This window comes from Homo sapiens, chromosome 9, assembly GCF_000001405.40.
Source record: "Homo sapiens chromosome 9, GRCh38.p14 Primary Assembly".
Lineage (NCBI taxonomy): Eukaryota > Metazoa > Chordata > Mammalia > Primates > Hominidae > Homo > Homo sapiens.
In genome coordinates, this window is record NC_000009.12 from 100,299,821 (window position 1) to 100,313,255 (window position 13,435).

At 38.4% G+C, this 13,435-nt stretch overlaps 2 protein-coding genes across 8 annotated transcripts in view; one reads left to right on the forward strand and one right to left on the reverse strand.

The window, feature by feature from the left end:
• Window positions 1–2,355, forward strand: part of INVS (inversin) — a 202,933-nt gene extending 200,578 nt beyond the window's left edge. For all 4 annotated transcript variants that reach the window (NR_134606.2, NM_001318381.2, NM_001318382.2 and 1 more), the window contains one exon: window positions 748–2,355. Coding sequence is in view for 3 of the 4 variants with exons in the window: in NM_001318381.2 (NP_001305310.1) it covers window positions 748–854 (107 nt within the window). In the remaining variant the exon portion in view is untranslated. The remainder of the gene's footprint in view (window positions 1–747) is intronic.
• Window positions 2,264–13,435, reverse strand: part of TEX10 (testis expressed 10) — a 50,859-nt gene continuing 39,687 nt past the window's right edge. For 2 of the 4 annotated variants that reach the window (XM_011518798.3, NM_017746.4), the window contains 4 exons: window positions 10,479–10,559; window positions 8,680–8,861; window positions 3,812–4,022; window positions 2,264–2,484 (listed from right to left, as the gene is read on the reverse strand). In XM_011518798.3, coding sequence (XP_011517100.1) covers window positions 2,371–2,484; window positions 3,812–4,022; window positions 8,680–8,861; window positions 10,479–10,559 — 588 coding nt within the window. In that variant the 3' untranslated portion in view covers window positions 2,264–2,370. Of the gene's footprint in view, window positions 2,485–3,811; window positions 4,023–8,679; window positions 8,862–10,478; window positions 10,560–13,435 lie in introns of those variants that run through there. The other 2 variants (NM_001161584.2, XM_047423523.1) reach the window with 2 other exon arrangements.

Consider the following 13,435-nt stretch of genomic DNA (forward strand, 5'->3'; position numbering starts at 1 on the left):
AGATGACAACTCCATTCAAGATACAGTGAAGACAGCCAAAAACAATAGTTCACATTAAAATAATTTTGTGGAAGTTATAAAACCAAGAGAGAAAAATTGAGACATATGTTTGTTACTTTTAAAAACTACTAAACCTTTAATGTATTTGCTTATATGCTCCATAAAAAGTTAGAAGCAAAATATAGCAATGTCTTCAGCAAGGTTTCTCATATGGGGCCTCAGTATCATTTGTCAAAGTATATCACTAATGTTTTCTGACTGTGGCATCCTATACATTTGTTAATTCAAAGTCATAAAAAGGCCTCAAAAATCCATTTTGATATTCCCATCAGCTTATCATTCATGAGGATCTGAATATTTTCTAACAAACCTATTTTCTAGAACAACTATTCAAAGTGTAATAGGAGAGTTAAAAGATGTGTTACCTGTTTATGTAATGTGTTATGTGAGAGACCCAGAGAGAGAATCTATTTGTTATTTCAGGCAGACTGAAGACCGAGGTTCTGGTACCAGCTCCCCAAGTGCCTGCTCTCTCTTAATCAAGTCTCCCTTGAAGAGATGTCCCATATCTTGAGACTGCAGGAAATATAAAGCTATTATATTAAGTCATCCTGCCTCTACAGTAAACTGGCCCATCATCCCAGGGATAGCCTAAACCGAAATCCTTCTTCCTCAACACCAATGAACTATTCCCTTCAGCCTTAAAATTAATAACCTTAATATCTATCTGGTATTTGTTTTTAACAGTGAGCAACCTACAGTGTATACATCTCCTTGAGAACAGTGGAAGATCAAAGAACTTTTCTTATAACCTGCAATCAGCTACTCAGCCAAAAAACAAAACAAAACCTTGACTGCCTATGGAGGAAGACTGTGTTCGGGGGAGCTGGCATAGCTAGTGCAGAGTTCAGATTTTCTGCTGATAATCTTTTACACCTTGGGAAAACTTTAATATCCGTACCTGAAGGCTGATTCACCTAAAAATGTGTTAACTGAAAGAAAATGTCAGAATGTTTCCTTTCTGCTCTTACACAGCATTGTTTTGTCAATCAACACAGCCTGCACTGAAAGGACCTGCATAGACTATGTCTGTGCAAAGTGCCTGAGTGTCTGCTTTCACCTCAGTCTGTACAGTTGGAAATGAGAATTCATAATTAACAGCAAAATCTAAGGAAAACTACGGCTGCTGGGTTGGGATTTCTGCCAGCTAGCTGGTACTGGCTTCTTGTTTCAAGAGATGAACCTAAATGAGATAGGAAGCCTGTCCCATAGCAGCCTTCCTCTCACTACTTTCCTGGCATCTAATGCAACAAACTTATCACACACACACACACACACACACACACACACACACACACATATCACGTCCCACTATTACTTCAAAATTAATCAGGTTTAAATTTTAGATCAGAATCATTGCCCACTGTTTTCATTTAGAAATTGTCCAAAAGACCATAGATACATTCTGGTGATTCCTTACATTTTACAGTTCCTACGTTAGCCTCTCAAGGCCACAAGTTGCCGCCACGTCTTCACTGAATGGCTTTCTCAGTGCTGAATACCAACAGCCGTATTACAGTATCAAGGATTCTGTCAGGTAGGGTTTACAGACCAGACTGTTCATGCAGCAAGGTGCTAACTCAGGCGTCAACGTTCTACTTGTATTTTCTGACCAACTTGCAGAAGTGAGCAATCTTCTTAAAATGCCATTTCTGTTGGCAGGGAAGAATGAAACGGCACACATCCTAGCATTCTAAGAACACCTGGTTTAAATAAAATCCAGTGATGATGGGCTCTTTCACATTGTTTAAGGGGAAAGCTGCTGTGAGAATATTGACAGTAGGCATAAACAGTGATATATTTTACTCACAGGTATTTTGGGGGTTGCTTTCATTTTCTTCAGATCAGTGCCACTTCTGTGCTAACGGTAAGAGATAGACAGATAGGCAATGAAGTGTTCACTTAATTACCTTGGTTTTTAGTTTACTAATTATTACATTCATCGTTTTTGTGATCACAAAAACACAAAGAAGGAGGTCTGCCTGGATGGAATTACAAAGATTTAGCCAGTTTCTTGGTATATAACAGAAGGTACCACAGTATCACTCTCTATTTTGTAAATATTTAGCTCCTATGAAATGCACAATGCACAACCGCCTATGACCATGTATCGTGTGCTAGTCCGGGAAGCCAGCCTACACATCAATAGGAACGCCCAAACATTATTTTCATATATCAGTGCAAAGAAAGAAGGTTCGTAAACTTCTTTAAAAGTTCAGCTTTAATGACAAAGATCTATTACATCAGTCTTTTTCTTCAAATAAGATAGATGTGAATAAACAACTTCAAACAGGAGGTACTATGGCCTCTTCAATACACTGTAGCCAGTGCACTGGGCCCTTGGGGATGCCCAGTGATATACACGTTGAAGCAGTAATGTAAGTCTGTGAGCCACTGTTCCTGAACACTTCCACTCTTCAATGTCTGGAGAGAAAAACAAGAGTAATCTGAGAACTGCACCCAAATCACTATGCTACCTGACAGTATTTTTCACACCCAAACACAATTTCCCAGAGCTTTGGCAACTGTATCCCCATCTGTAAATTACCATAGGAAGTCTTCCAGGAAACAGGGAACTATTAATTGGGCATTACCACAGGCAGTGAAAATTCCTAGTTATATCCTCAAATGCTAATGGTTTCTTGTTAAGTCTGTTCCCTCCTGCACATGCTAGAGACTAATGAAATTTCACCACCAACCATCCCTTCACCCTTGCCTCTCCCTCTTGCCATTCTAGTGTCTCATGATCTTTACCCCAGTGCCAACTGAGAATAACTCTACAGGGCCAACCAACAATTTCTGTCAATCTCTTCTTTACAAAGATGGGCTGATTCCCCAGTCTGGGAATAATCCAAGCTCTTGATTTTCTTCCCTTCACTATTTCTGAATTATTCCACTGCCACTTCCATTACCCCTACAAAGGCTACTGAAAAAATACTAATGAGCACCTGTGTTATATGCATGTAAAAGCACTATTACTTCAAAGTATCACTACGAATCTCAAGGGATAATCTGCCAATCAAACTATACAAGACACTTTTTTAACCGCCCCCCCCCCAAACTAAAATCACCAAAGGAATCCTAAACAACAGAGCTGTCCCGGCCAAACAGACACAGCTGAAGGCAGAGAGCCAACCATTAGACAAAGCTGAAGTCTGCAACTTCTGATTTTCTTACTTTAGAGTGAACTAAGTGACTAGAAATTGGCCTGAAGTTTATTCCTGCTAAATAATTTCCTTAATGACAACATTTATGGAGCACTTAACAAATGTCAGGTATACTAAAAACTTTACTTGGGTTATCTCCTTTAATGATCACCAAAACACAATAAAGTTGGCATTATTCCCATTTTTACAGATAGGAAAACAAGCTTGGATAGGTAAGAAAGAAAGAAAAAAACTTGCCAAGCTGTCACAGTTCATTAATAGAGTCTGTATCACAGTCTAGGTAGGAATGACTCTGATGCCCTTACCTTTTCAAACTAAACTAAGCTTTGTCACCTTCATTGAGTTTGATTATTTTAAGACTTTTATTACTAATTCTGGAATCACAGACACACCCCCCCCCCCATTAAGTCACAGTCAGGTGCTGGACAGCACGGGAGACCCTGAGAAACTACCATATTGGGATTAATTCCTGGACTCAATGTATGGGATCCCTTTCCTCCCTCAAAACACACTTTCCCCCATGCCCCCGTCATAAATTCATTCTTATGCTAATACTGCAAAGCCTCCGGTACCATGCTTCTTACCGTGATATTCTTGATGATCTGCTGCACCAAGATCGCATTGGTCAACATATGAGTCCTGAGGGGTGCATGCTGAAGCAGCAGTCGAAGCAGCTGGCCCACAACAGGCAGCTCCTCAGGCCCAACTCTGTTCACCCGCAGGCTCTGCAGCATCAACCTGAGGACTCGAGGCAAGAGAGCCAGGATGGAGACACAGACCCCCCACAGCTTGTCCCTACAATAACAGAGACAGAAATGAGTCAGTGAGCAAATGCCCACAGGAAAAGCCCCCCTTCTATATTCCCCCAAAGTGAAATGTCCTTTTAAGGAACATGTTTTCCAATAACATTTAAACTGAGAGCCAAATCAAGAACGCAATCTCACTTACAATAGCCACACACACACACTAAATACCTAGGAATACATCTAACCAAGGAGGTGAAAGATCTCTACAAGAAAAACTACAGAACACTGCTGAGAGAAATCACAGATGACACAGATAAATGGAAAAACATTCCATGCTCATGAATTGGAATAATCAGTATTGTTAAAATGGCCACACTGCTCAAAGCAACCTACAGATTCAACTGTATTCCTATCAAACTACCAACATCATTCTTCACACAATTAAAAAAAAATATTCTAAAATTCACATGGAACCAAAAAAGCCAGAATGGCCAAAGCAATCCTAAGCAAAAACAACCTGACTTCACAGTACACTACAAGGCTACAGTAGCCAAAACAGCATGGTAATGATAGAGAACAACAGACAGATAAACCAATGGAACAGAAAAGAGAACCCAGAAATAAAGCCACATACCTACAACTATCTCATCTTCAACTAAGGTGACAAAAACAAGCAACAGGGCAAGGATTCCCTATTCAATAAATGGTGCTGGGACAATTGGCTATCCTTTTGTAGAAGAATAAAAATGGATCCCTATCTTTCATCATATACAAAAAATTAACTCGGCCAGGCGCGGTGGCTCACGCCTGTAATCCCAGCACTTTGGGAGGCTGAGGCAGGTGGATCACGAAGTCAAGAAATCAAGACCATCCTGGCCAACATGGAGAAACCCCGTCTCTACTACAGATACAAAATTAGCCAGGCATGGTGGCACGCGCCTGCAGTCCCAGCTACTCGGGAGGCTGAGGCAGGAGAATTGCTTGAATCCGGGAGGTGGAGGTTGTAGTGAGCCGAGATCACACCACTGCATTCCAGCCTGGCAAAAGAATGAGACTCCGTCTCAAAAAAAAAAATTAACTCAAGATAGATTAAGAATTCATTACTAAGTCCTCAAAAGCAATTGCAAAAACAAAAAATGACAAGTGGGCCCTAATTAAACTTAAGAACAAGAGAAACTATCCACATTTCAATAAACATGGTGTTTTTCACTAACATTTAGGCTAAGAGCCAAATCAAGAACATCATTCTCTCGGTATCTTTATGGAGCAAAATGTTTATGGTAGAGACAGGTGACCTTGCAGCTAGCCTAACCACATTCTCCAAGTGTTAATTAGATGGTGCAATATTCACATAGACCTAGAGTCCACTGACTATGAAAGGCTCTGACCTTTTTGCAGCTTCTTTACCAGGAGTGTATAATCTTCCTAGTTCCTAAATCTTTCTAAGAGAACCTGACTACCTCCAGGTCTAGAGGGAGCAGCCCCTTCACTATATAACCAATTTCCCTGACTGCACATATGGTAATTCCATCTATGGTGAATAATGAATCCATTCTAGGCCAAATAGATACTCTTATGCAGAGCCCAGCTGGGACAGTCACGTGCAAGGAGAAAAGAGAAAGCCAGACTGCAGACATAGCTAATGCAAAGGCACGGAGATACAGACTACACAAACTAGAAGAAACGTAGAGTAAGCTGCTTTGTCTCTTGCTAAATTTCTAATTCCTAGCCCTTGGGTTTTACAAGTTACTCCTGTAATAATCAAATATTTTCATTTTCTACTTTTCTTAATTTGAGTGGATTTCAAATAACCACAGACCTTAAAAAAAAAAGACAGCCAAGCTCAAGGCCAGATGGGTAAAACCTCTAGGTGAAAGAAACTATAATGAAATTCATATAAAGATATCCAACAGTCATAAAAACTGTATGTGGGATTTTAGGGCAAGGATTTTCAACAGTCAACAGTACTGGAAGCTGAGGCTTCAGAACCCAGGTATGGAAGGCAGGGAGTTTGAACTATGCTCCTTGCACAGAATGGGAAGCCAGGAAAATGCAAATGTCAAACTATCCTACAGGGAAGTCTCTATAAACCTCCACAGAACTCCCACAAAAGACACACTTAGGGAAAAGGTATGCAGCCCAAAATATACAAGTCTGTTCAACTTGCTCCCTAAAATAAGGGAGAATGCCGACACCGCAGGAAAAAGGAGCTAATGGAACTAACAAGAACTTTAAAGAAACACCAATAAACCAAGAACACGCGAAAATGACAAAATACCAAATAAAAATCCAAAATAGAAACAAATCCAAAAGAAAACAAAAGTTGATGAAATAAAATCTCAGTAGGAGGATTAAGTAAAAGAATTAGCAAATTGAAAGATTTTTAAGAGACGAAGACAGAATAAAAAGCTCCCTATGTTTAAAAGGAGTTTTTAGAAGAAAATAGAAACAATGGGGGAAGATGGTTAAAAATTAATAATAACTTTCCAGACTTGAAGAAAAAAAACTGAATCTTCACATTACAGAAGCACACTATGTCTAGGGCAGGATAAATAACAAATCTACACTAGGACACATCCTGATCTGCAACACACTGAAGATAAAGAGAGAACAGTAAAAATATAGATTACTACCTGTAAGATTACTACCTACAAACTAAGAGGGCTCAGACTAACAGCAGATTTTTTCATTAGTTAACACTGAGGCAAGGAGACAATAGAACAGTATCTTCAAGGCACAGCAGACAGTACTAAACAACTCAACTCGGTCAAACCTAACTTTCTGGCCAGCACTTGTGAAATCAAAGGCTCCCCAGTAATTTGATTAGCATTTTCATCATTTTGTAATCTTATAAACACCTTCTCCAGTGGGGAAGAAATAGCCCAAATGGGAATTTTAGGTACCTAAGACTTCGGCTGCCAACTGTGCCTAATATCCTAGTAATGTTAACCTTTCCAGTACCCAGTATAGAATACCCCTACAACTGGGCATTTTAAACAGGCAAACAAGTATTACACACACTTAATTTTGTTCATTCCAGCCACATGAAGTCAAAGGATGTTTCTCTATAAGAAACTACAATAGATCTTTGAAACTTTGCATGAAGTTGTTTTAGGGGCCATACTTCAAGTGACAGGAAATAACAAATAGCAATACACACACATTTCATTAAGTGGGGATCTTATAAAATCTCTAGAACCCTGAGAAGTTCCTTGCTACTTATAAAGCCTTTTCTTGACCTGTCAGACCTAATGTTTGATGATGTATAAGAAAACTATCGTCGAATTTATGTTATGCATAAATTTTATAGTATATTTAAAGTGAAATACACAATTTTTTTCTATGCACATACTCTTACTGGAAAAAATTTGAATGCTGACAATAAAATGGCTAAGTTATGGTACATGCATGTAACAGAATACTATAGAGCAGACTGAGCAAACTATGGCCACAGGCCAAATCCAGCCCATGGTAAGTATTTGTAAATAGTTTTACTGGAACACAATTATACTCATTTATTTACATATTATCTATTGATGCTTTCACACTACCGTGGTAGTGCTGAGTAGCCATGACAGAGACCTAATGGTCTGCAAAACCTAAAATATTTACTAACTAACCCTTTATAGAAAGAACTTTGCTGAACCCTGGTATGGAGAAATAAAAACGAATGAAATACAGCTGAATGAGTCAACTTCAATCAATCTCAAAAGCAATGCTGAGAGAATCAAATCACAAAAAATACATGCAGTATAATTCCCATTACAAAAAATCCACAAATATGCAAAACAAACCTGATACTGTTCACAAATGCACATAAAACCATTTTTTTTTTTAAGGTAATGAAGTTGATCAACACCAAGTGATCTGGGGCAGAGGGGTACGTAGAAGACATTTAACTGTGCAGGGTACATTAACAGTATATGTGCTGATGATATTCTATATCCGAACCTGGGGTTGGTTAAATGGAGGTTCAGTTTATAATTACCTTTTAAACTACATAAATGTTTTTTTATACATTCAGTATATGTATTTTCATGTCATTTAAAAGTTCAAAAAAGACCAAAAAGGCACATATCAAAACATTAACAGCAGGTGACAGAATATTTGCCAACCTGTTAGCAGGTTTTAAAACCTTCTACAATGAACTTTTAATGGGCACACAAATAAGAACACAAGCATAAAATACTTTTTAAAATTAAAGTAAAATCTTCCCAACTACGCTAAAAGCTCTAGCCTGAATATTTTATATACGAGCAAAAGTACTAATTAAAAGCACTAGCATCTTAGAAGAATTTCCTTAAATCCAAGATTTTAAAATTCCCACTCTGGCTAGCTCTAATGAAGCTCAAAACAAAATACAAAGGTTGGTACTAATAGCCCATCCTCCTAACGGTAGATTTATTTTTCTTGCTAGACTTATAGCAATGTTAATAAAAGAAACCTCTCAAGAAATTTTATAATGCCATCTAAGTTTTCAAATTTGTAACTTAAAGGGGAAAGAACAAAAAACTAAAAATTTTCACTACAACACAAAGGGGATTCATGAAGGAACAAAGAAAAAGCTAGCTAGGCTGACACAAACTCTCTGAAACAGAATTTAAGGTATCTGTATAACCTAATTATCTTTAACTGTCTATTTTATTATTTGGTTGGGGGAGGAGGAACAGTAGGAAAATTAAGGTTGAAGAATAAAAAATAATTACCTCTTTCTTAGATGTTCTGCTTCCCCTTTCTCTATAGTGAGCAGAAAATAAAGAAGACTGTAGCAACAAGAAGCCAGAAATGGCAGTAGAGTCTCACTAACTACACAAGTATGATCCAGGAGCTTACAGATAACACCAAAAACACAGCCAGCCGTGCTGTCAGGAATTACAGTCAACCCAACCTAAGCAGAGAAAAACGAGATTAATCACCTCTTCATAACAGACCCGCTCCTCCACATAAAACCAAAACCTGTTAATTCACGATTAACTTTACATTATTTCTACTGAAAACCAATATATACCTAACATATGCCACCTGCCACACCTTAAGGTCCTGTTTTCCTTTGAGAATTTAATCCCTAAATTATATGACTTTGAAAACATGCAAACACAAGAAGTGCTATTAACCCAATCCACTGCCTCCCCTTCATGACAGAATCTTCTAAATGTTCTATAAAATGTCTACTGCTGGTTAGAAATAACTATTTAAAGGGATTATTTCATGCACTCAAAGAAAATCTGAATACCAACAATCATACTTAAAAATTTTTAAATTATTCAGGCTGGAAAACTTGCATGTGGCACCACTCATATGCCAGGTAATTAAATGTATAAATAGTTCATTTCAAAATTAGCCTTCCTCTGCACTTTGATTTAGTCATTCAGACATGAATAAACATACCTCTACTGGAGTCAGTAAAAGATATTACTATAGTTAACATTTGACTGTTTCACTGCCAGGAAACCCAGGAAGGGTCATTAGAGTTTGCTAATTCATCTAGAATGTACTGTATGCATTGTCATTAAGGTAGAGTCTAACTTGTAACTGTATATATACATGGTTTCAATCTCCTGGAGACTACTGTTGGGTAATGATTTTACAAAGTCTGCAAACTCTGATGTCTTAACCTCCTCCACAGGCTGTGTGAAAATAGTGGCCAAGACTGACTGGCATATTGATCTTTTACTAGAATAATGAATGTAGTCAACGGAGAGTCTAATTCTCTGGAGTGGAGGTAGGGAAAAAAAAGTGGGCATTGTTGATGGCACAGGGATAAGGACTGGAAGTTTGACAGCAGGGAGAAAGTACTAGGAATTCAAAGCAGTACTCTCTTCCAACTCAAGGGAAGTAACATTTTAAGAGAAAAAGGAGTCTGGATGTGCCTATATTTTATCCAAACAAGTGTGTTTCTCAAAGATATAATTTGGGAGCCCTGCTTTGTACTATAACACATTACAATAAAAAGCCAAAGATAAGAGTATAAACACTGGAGAAAGTTAAAAGCAACTACAGAGGTATATCTAATGTGAATTTAATACCAATGGAAATGAGACATCCAATATCAAATAACAGGTCAGTCTCAGGGTTGAGTCTACAGCTGCCAGTGACCACACCTTGTGCCGGGTTAGATGATGTGCCTACTTTGGACCCCAAACCTTCTAGGTGGAACCCAGACTTCAGTCTAGATGTTGAATTCTCAATACAATGAGGCCAAGCACACGTGAATTACAGAAGTTGGAAAGGATGTGAAGTTTAATTTTCAGGTCCCTTATTTCACTGATTTAGAAAAGTGAGGTCCTAAGAAGAGACTTTTCCCAAGGTCACTCAGAAGTAAATTAATAACAGCCAGGAAAAATACCAAGATTCCTCAGTTCTTGCCAATGCATCATGCTGCAAGAGACTATGATATCATTAATCTTAGAATTCCAGACATGCTCTTTCTGGGGCTGTGGAAAACTCTATTCTAACCAATGCATCCTGTGTTCATTCTTAAGAGAAAAAGTTTAAGGATACTTACCAAATGCTTACTGATGGCACTTTGCAAGATGTCAAAGTTCTGACTTCGGGCAGGAATAACCAATAAACTGTGAAAAACTGCCTGTCAGAAAAGGAGAAAACCACTAACCAAATCAGAACATTTTAGATCAGAAACAAGTTCAACAGATTCTTTTTTTTGAGACAGAGTTTCACTCTGTCGCCCAGGCTGGAGTGCAGTGATGCAGTCTCAGCTCACCGCAACCCCCGTGACCTGGCTCAAGCAATCCTCTGGCCTCAGCCTCCCCAGTAGCTGGGACTACAGGTGCACACCACCACGCCTGGCTAATTTTTGTATTCTTAGTAGAGATGGGGTTCCACCATTTTGCCCAGGCTTGTCTTAAACTCCTGGATTCAAGCAACCCACCTACCTCAAGACTCCCAAAGTGCTAAGATCACAGGTGTGAGCCACTGTGCCCAGCAATAGATTCTTTTAATACCTACTTGCTCTACATATTAATAGGAAACACATAACAAATTATTTTGAAGATGCAAATGTCAAAGATCAAACAAATAGACCTTATATATGGCCTAATTTTCCAAATAATTCATCTACTAATCATATGTTGAATATTGAGCTAGCCCCTATTAGATGCCATGCACAGGAATAAAAGAATGAGAAACCTTCTCTTCTTTCTCATACCCCTCAAGTGGCTTACAATCTACCAACATGGAGACCACACAGTAAGTCCTCTACTTAACAACTTCAGCAGGTTCTCGGAAACTATGACTTTAAGCAAAACAATGTATAATGCAATCATTTTTTCCCCCCAATCAACATTATTAAGAAACGTTTTTCAGCCAGGCCTGGTGGCTCATGACTGTAATTCTAGTACTTTGGGAGGCCAAGGTGGGAGGACTGCTCAAGCCCAGGAGTTTGAAACCAGCCTGGGCAACATAGTGGTACCTCATCTAGAAAAAAAAAAAAAGTTGGCCAGATGTGGTAGCACATGCTTGTGGTACCAGCTACTCAGGAGGTTGGGACAGGAGGATCGCCTGAGCCCAGGAGGTTGAGGCTGCACTGCAGTAAGCCATAATGGTGACACTGCACTGTAGCCTGGATGACAGAGTGAGACACTGTCTCCAAAAAATAAGTGTTATTCAAGGACCTGCCGTGTATGTCATTTCTGTTTCCTAAAGAACCTACTGAGGATATTAAGTGAGGGCATACTGTATTTCTATTGAGTGCTATGACAGAAAGATCTGAGTGATATGAACAAAGGGCTAACAAAAGCTTTTTTTTGCCCACCTGATAGAGAAATGTATCACAGAAAAATATTTATGACCCAGAAAATACAAATATCCTGTTCAATTTAATCATAACACTGCCTTCTCTAAAGGTAAAAAAGAAATCTGCACAAAAAGTAGAGAGTTAGAAGTAAAACCCCTAGTATTTTTAATTTCCTAAGTTCTCAGAAAAACAAGAAGAGTCAAGAACAGTACTAAGTCCTTCACAGATATCAGTCACAGCACAAACTCCAGAATCTGATACAGTATACTACCAAAAATGAAATATGTAAAAACATCACATGAAAAAACAAGAATGGTAGAAGGATGAATATCACTCTAGGAAGAGATCAGTCAGTTAAGTTCAAGAGAGCTGTCATCTAGCCCTGAAAAATCAAGACTTTTTATACTTGTTATTTACAGATTTGAGAGTGTGTGGGGGGGGGAATCAACAGATCTATACATTATTTCTCTGTAAAATATCTTGTAGATATTACCCAGATATTTTACTTGGTAACTTCTTTTATACCATTAAGTAACAATGAGAAAAAACTCATTTCCAAGGCCATCTTCCTACTCCAAAACAAACATGGTGAATATTTTTATTAATCCAAACCACATTTGAAAAGTGCACATTCAATAATGACCACTTCATCACTTCCCTTCTGCCTCCCCTTGCTGCCCTAAACAATTCAGTTCTAAAGCCAATGGCTGGAGCCAAACTAGGTAAACTCTGGCACTGGATTTGGTGGGAGTGCTGAGATGGCCCAGAGTAGACAGCCCGAAAGAACCAGAGCCCAAATGGAGTGAGATGAGAGGGGTGGCAGCAAAGGAAGACTAATTATAGACAGAGAAGCTGATCAAGTAAATATATTAAGTATAACTGGAGCCAGGTTTCTATCAGAGAAAGCAGGTACAAAAAAGAAACAGGATATAACTAGAATAAACTCTGTGGTGTTGAATGACTACTTTATGTCCAATAAGAGGATACGGGAGAAGCAACATCCAACAGCAATAAGCACACCTAAATTCCACATGTTGGTTTCTAAATACCATTCTCCACTGTTTTTTGCAGAAAACTGGTCTGCCATAACTACTCTAATATAATCTCCTCTTTCACAAATAGGAGACTACCTGAACTCTCCCCAAGTATCATACCAAGAAAGTTACATGTGCTACCATAACCGTATAGAAGCTGAGCTTTCCCTGAGAATTTACAAGTCACCATACAGACCCTGAGAGATAAAAGCAAGCTGAAAACCTAAAATAAACGTAAGATTTCAAGACCTATAAGTAAACACAGTACCAGGCACTATGGGTAATAAAAAGAGGATGTCATTGGCATGACCCTAGCATTGTGACCAGAGTCAAACAAAGCCATGAGAGAAATAAGTTAAATATCTATAAAAGATATAGTCCCTAGAGATAGGAAGAACATGAAGGTAATTCAAAATAAAATGAATTTATCAAGTAAATAAATTCATTGGTATACCAACAACAACAACAAAAGATTAGGTTGTAACTTGAACCTAGAGACTACCCTGTTGACAACACTGTCAAAACTGGCTAACAAAAAATAAAATTAGCCAGGAGAGAATATTACTTCATGAAAAAATGAAATCAAAATTACTTAGGATGACATAATTTTGCATTCTCACTGGACAAGCACCTTTCAACATTAAGAAATAGTGGCCGGGCATGGTGGCTCATGCC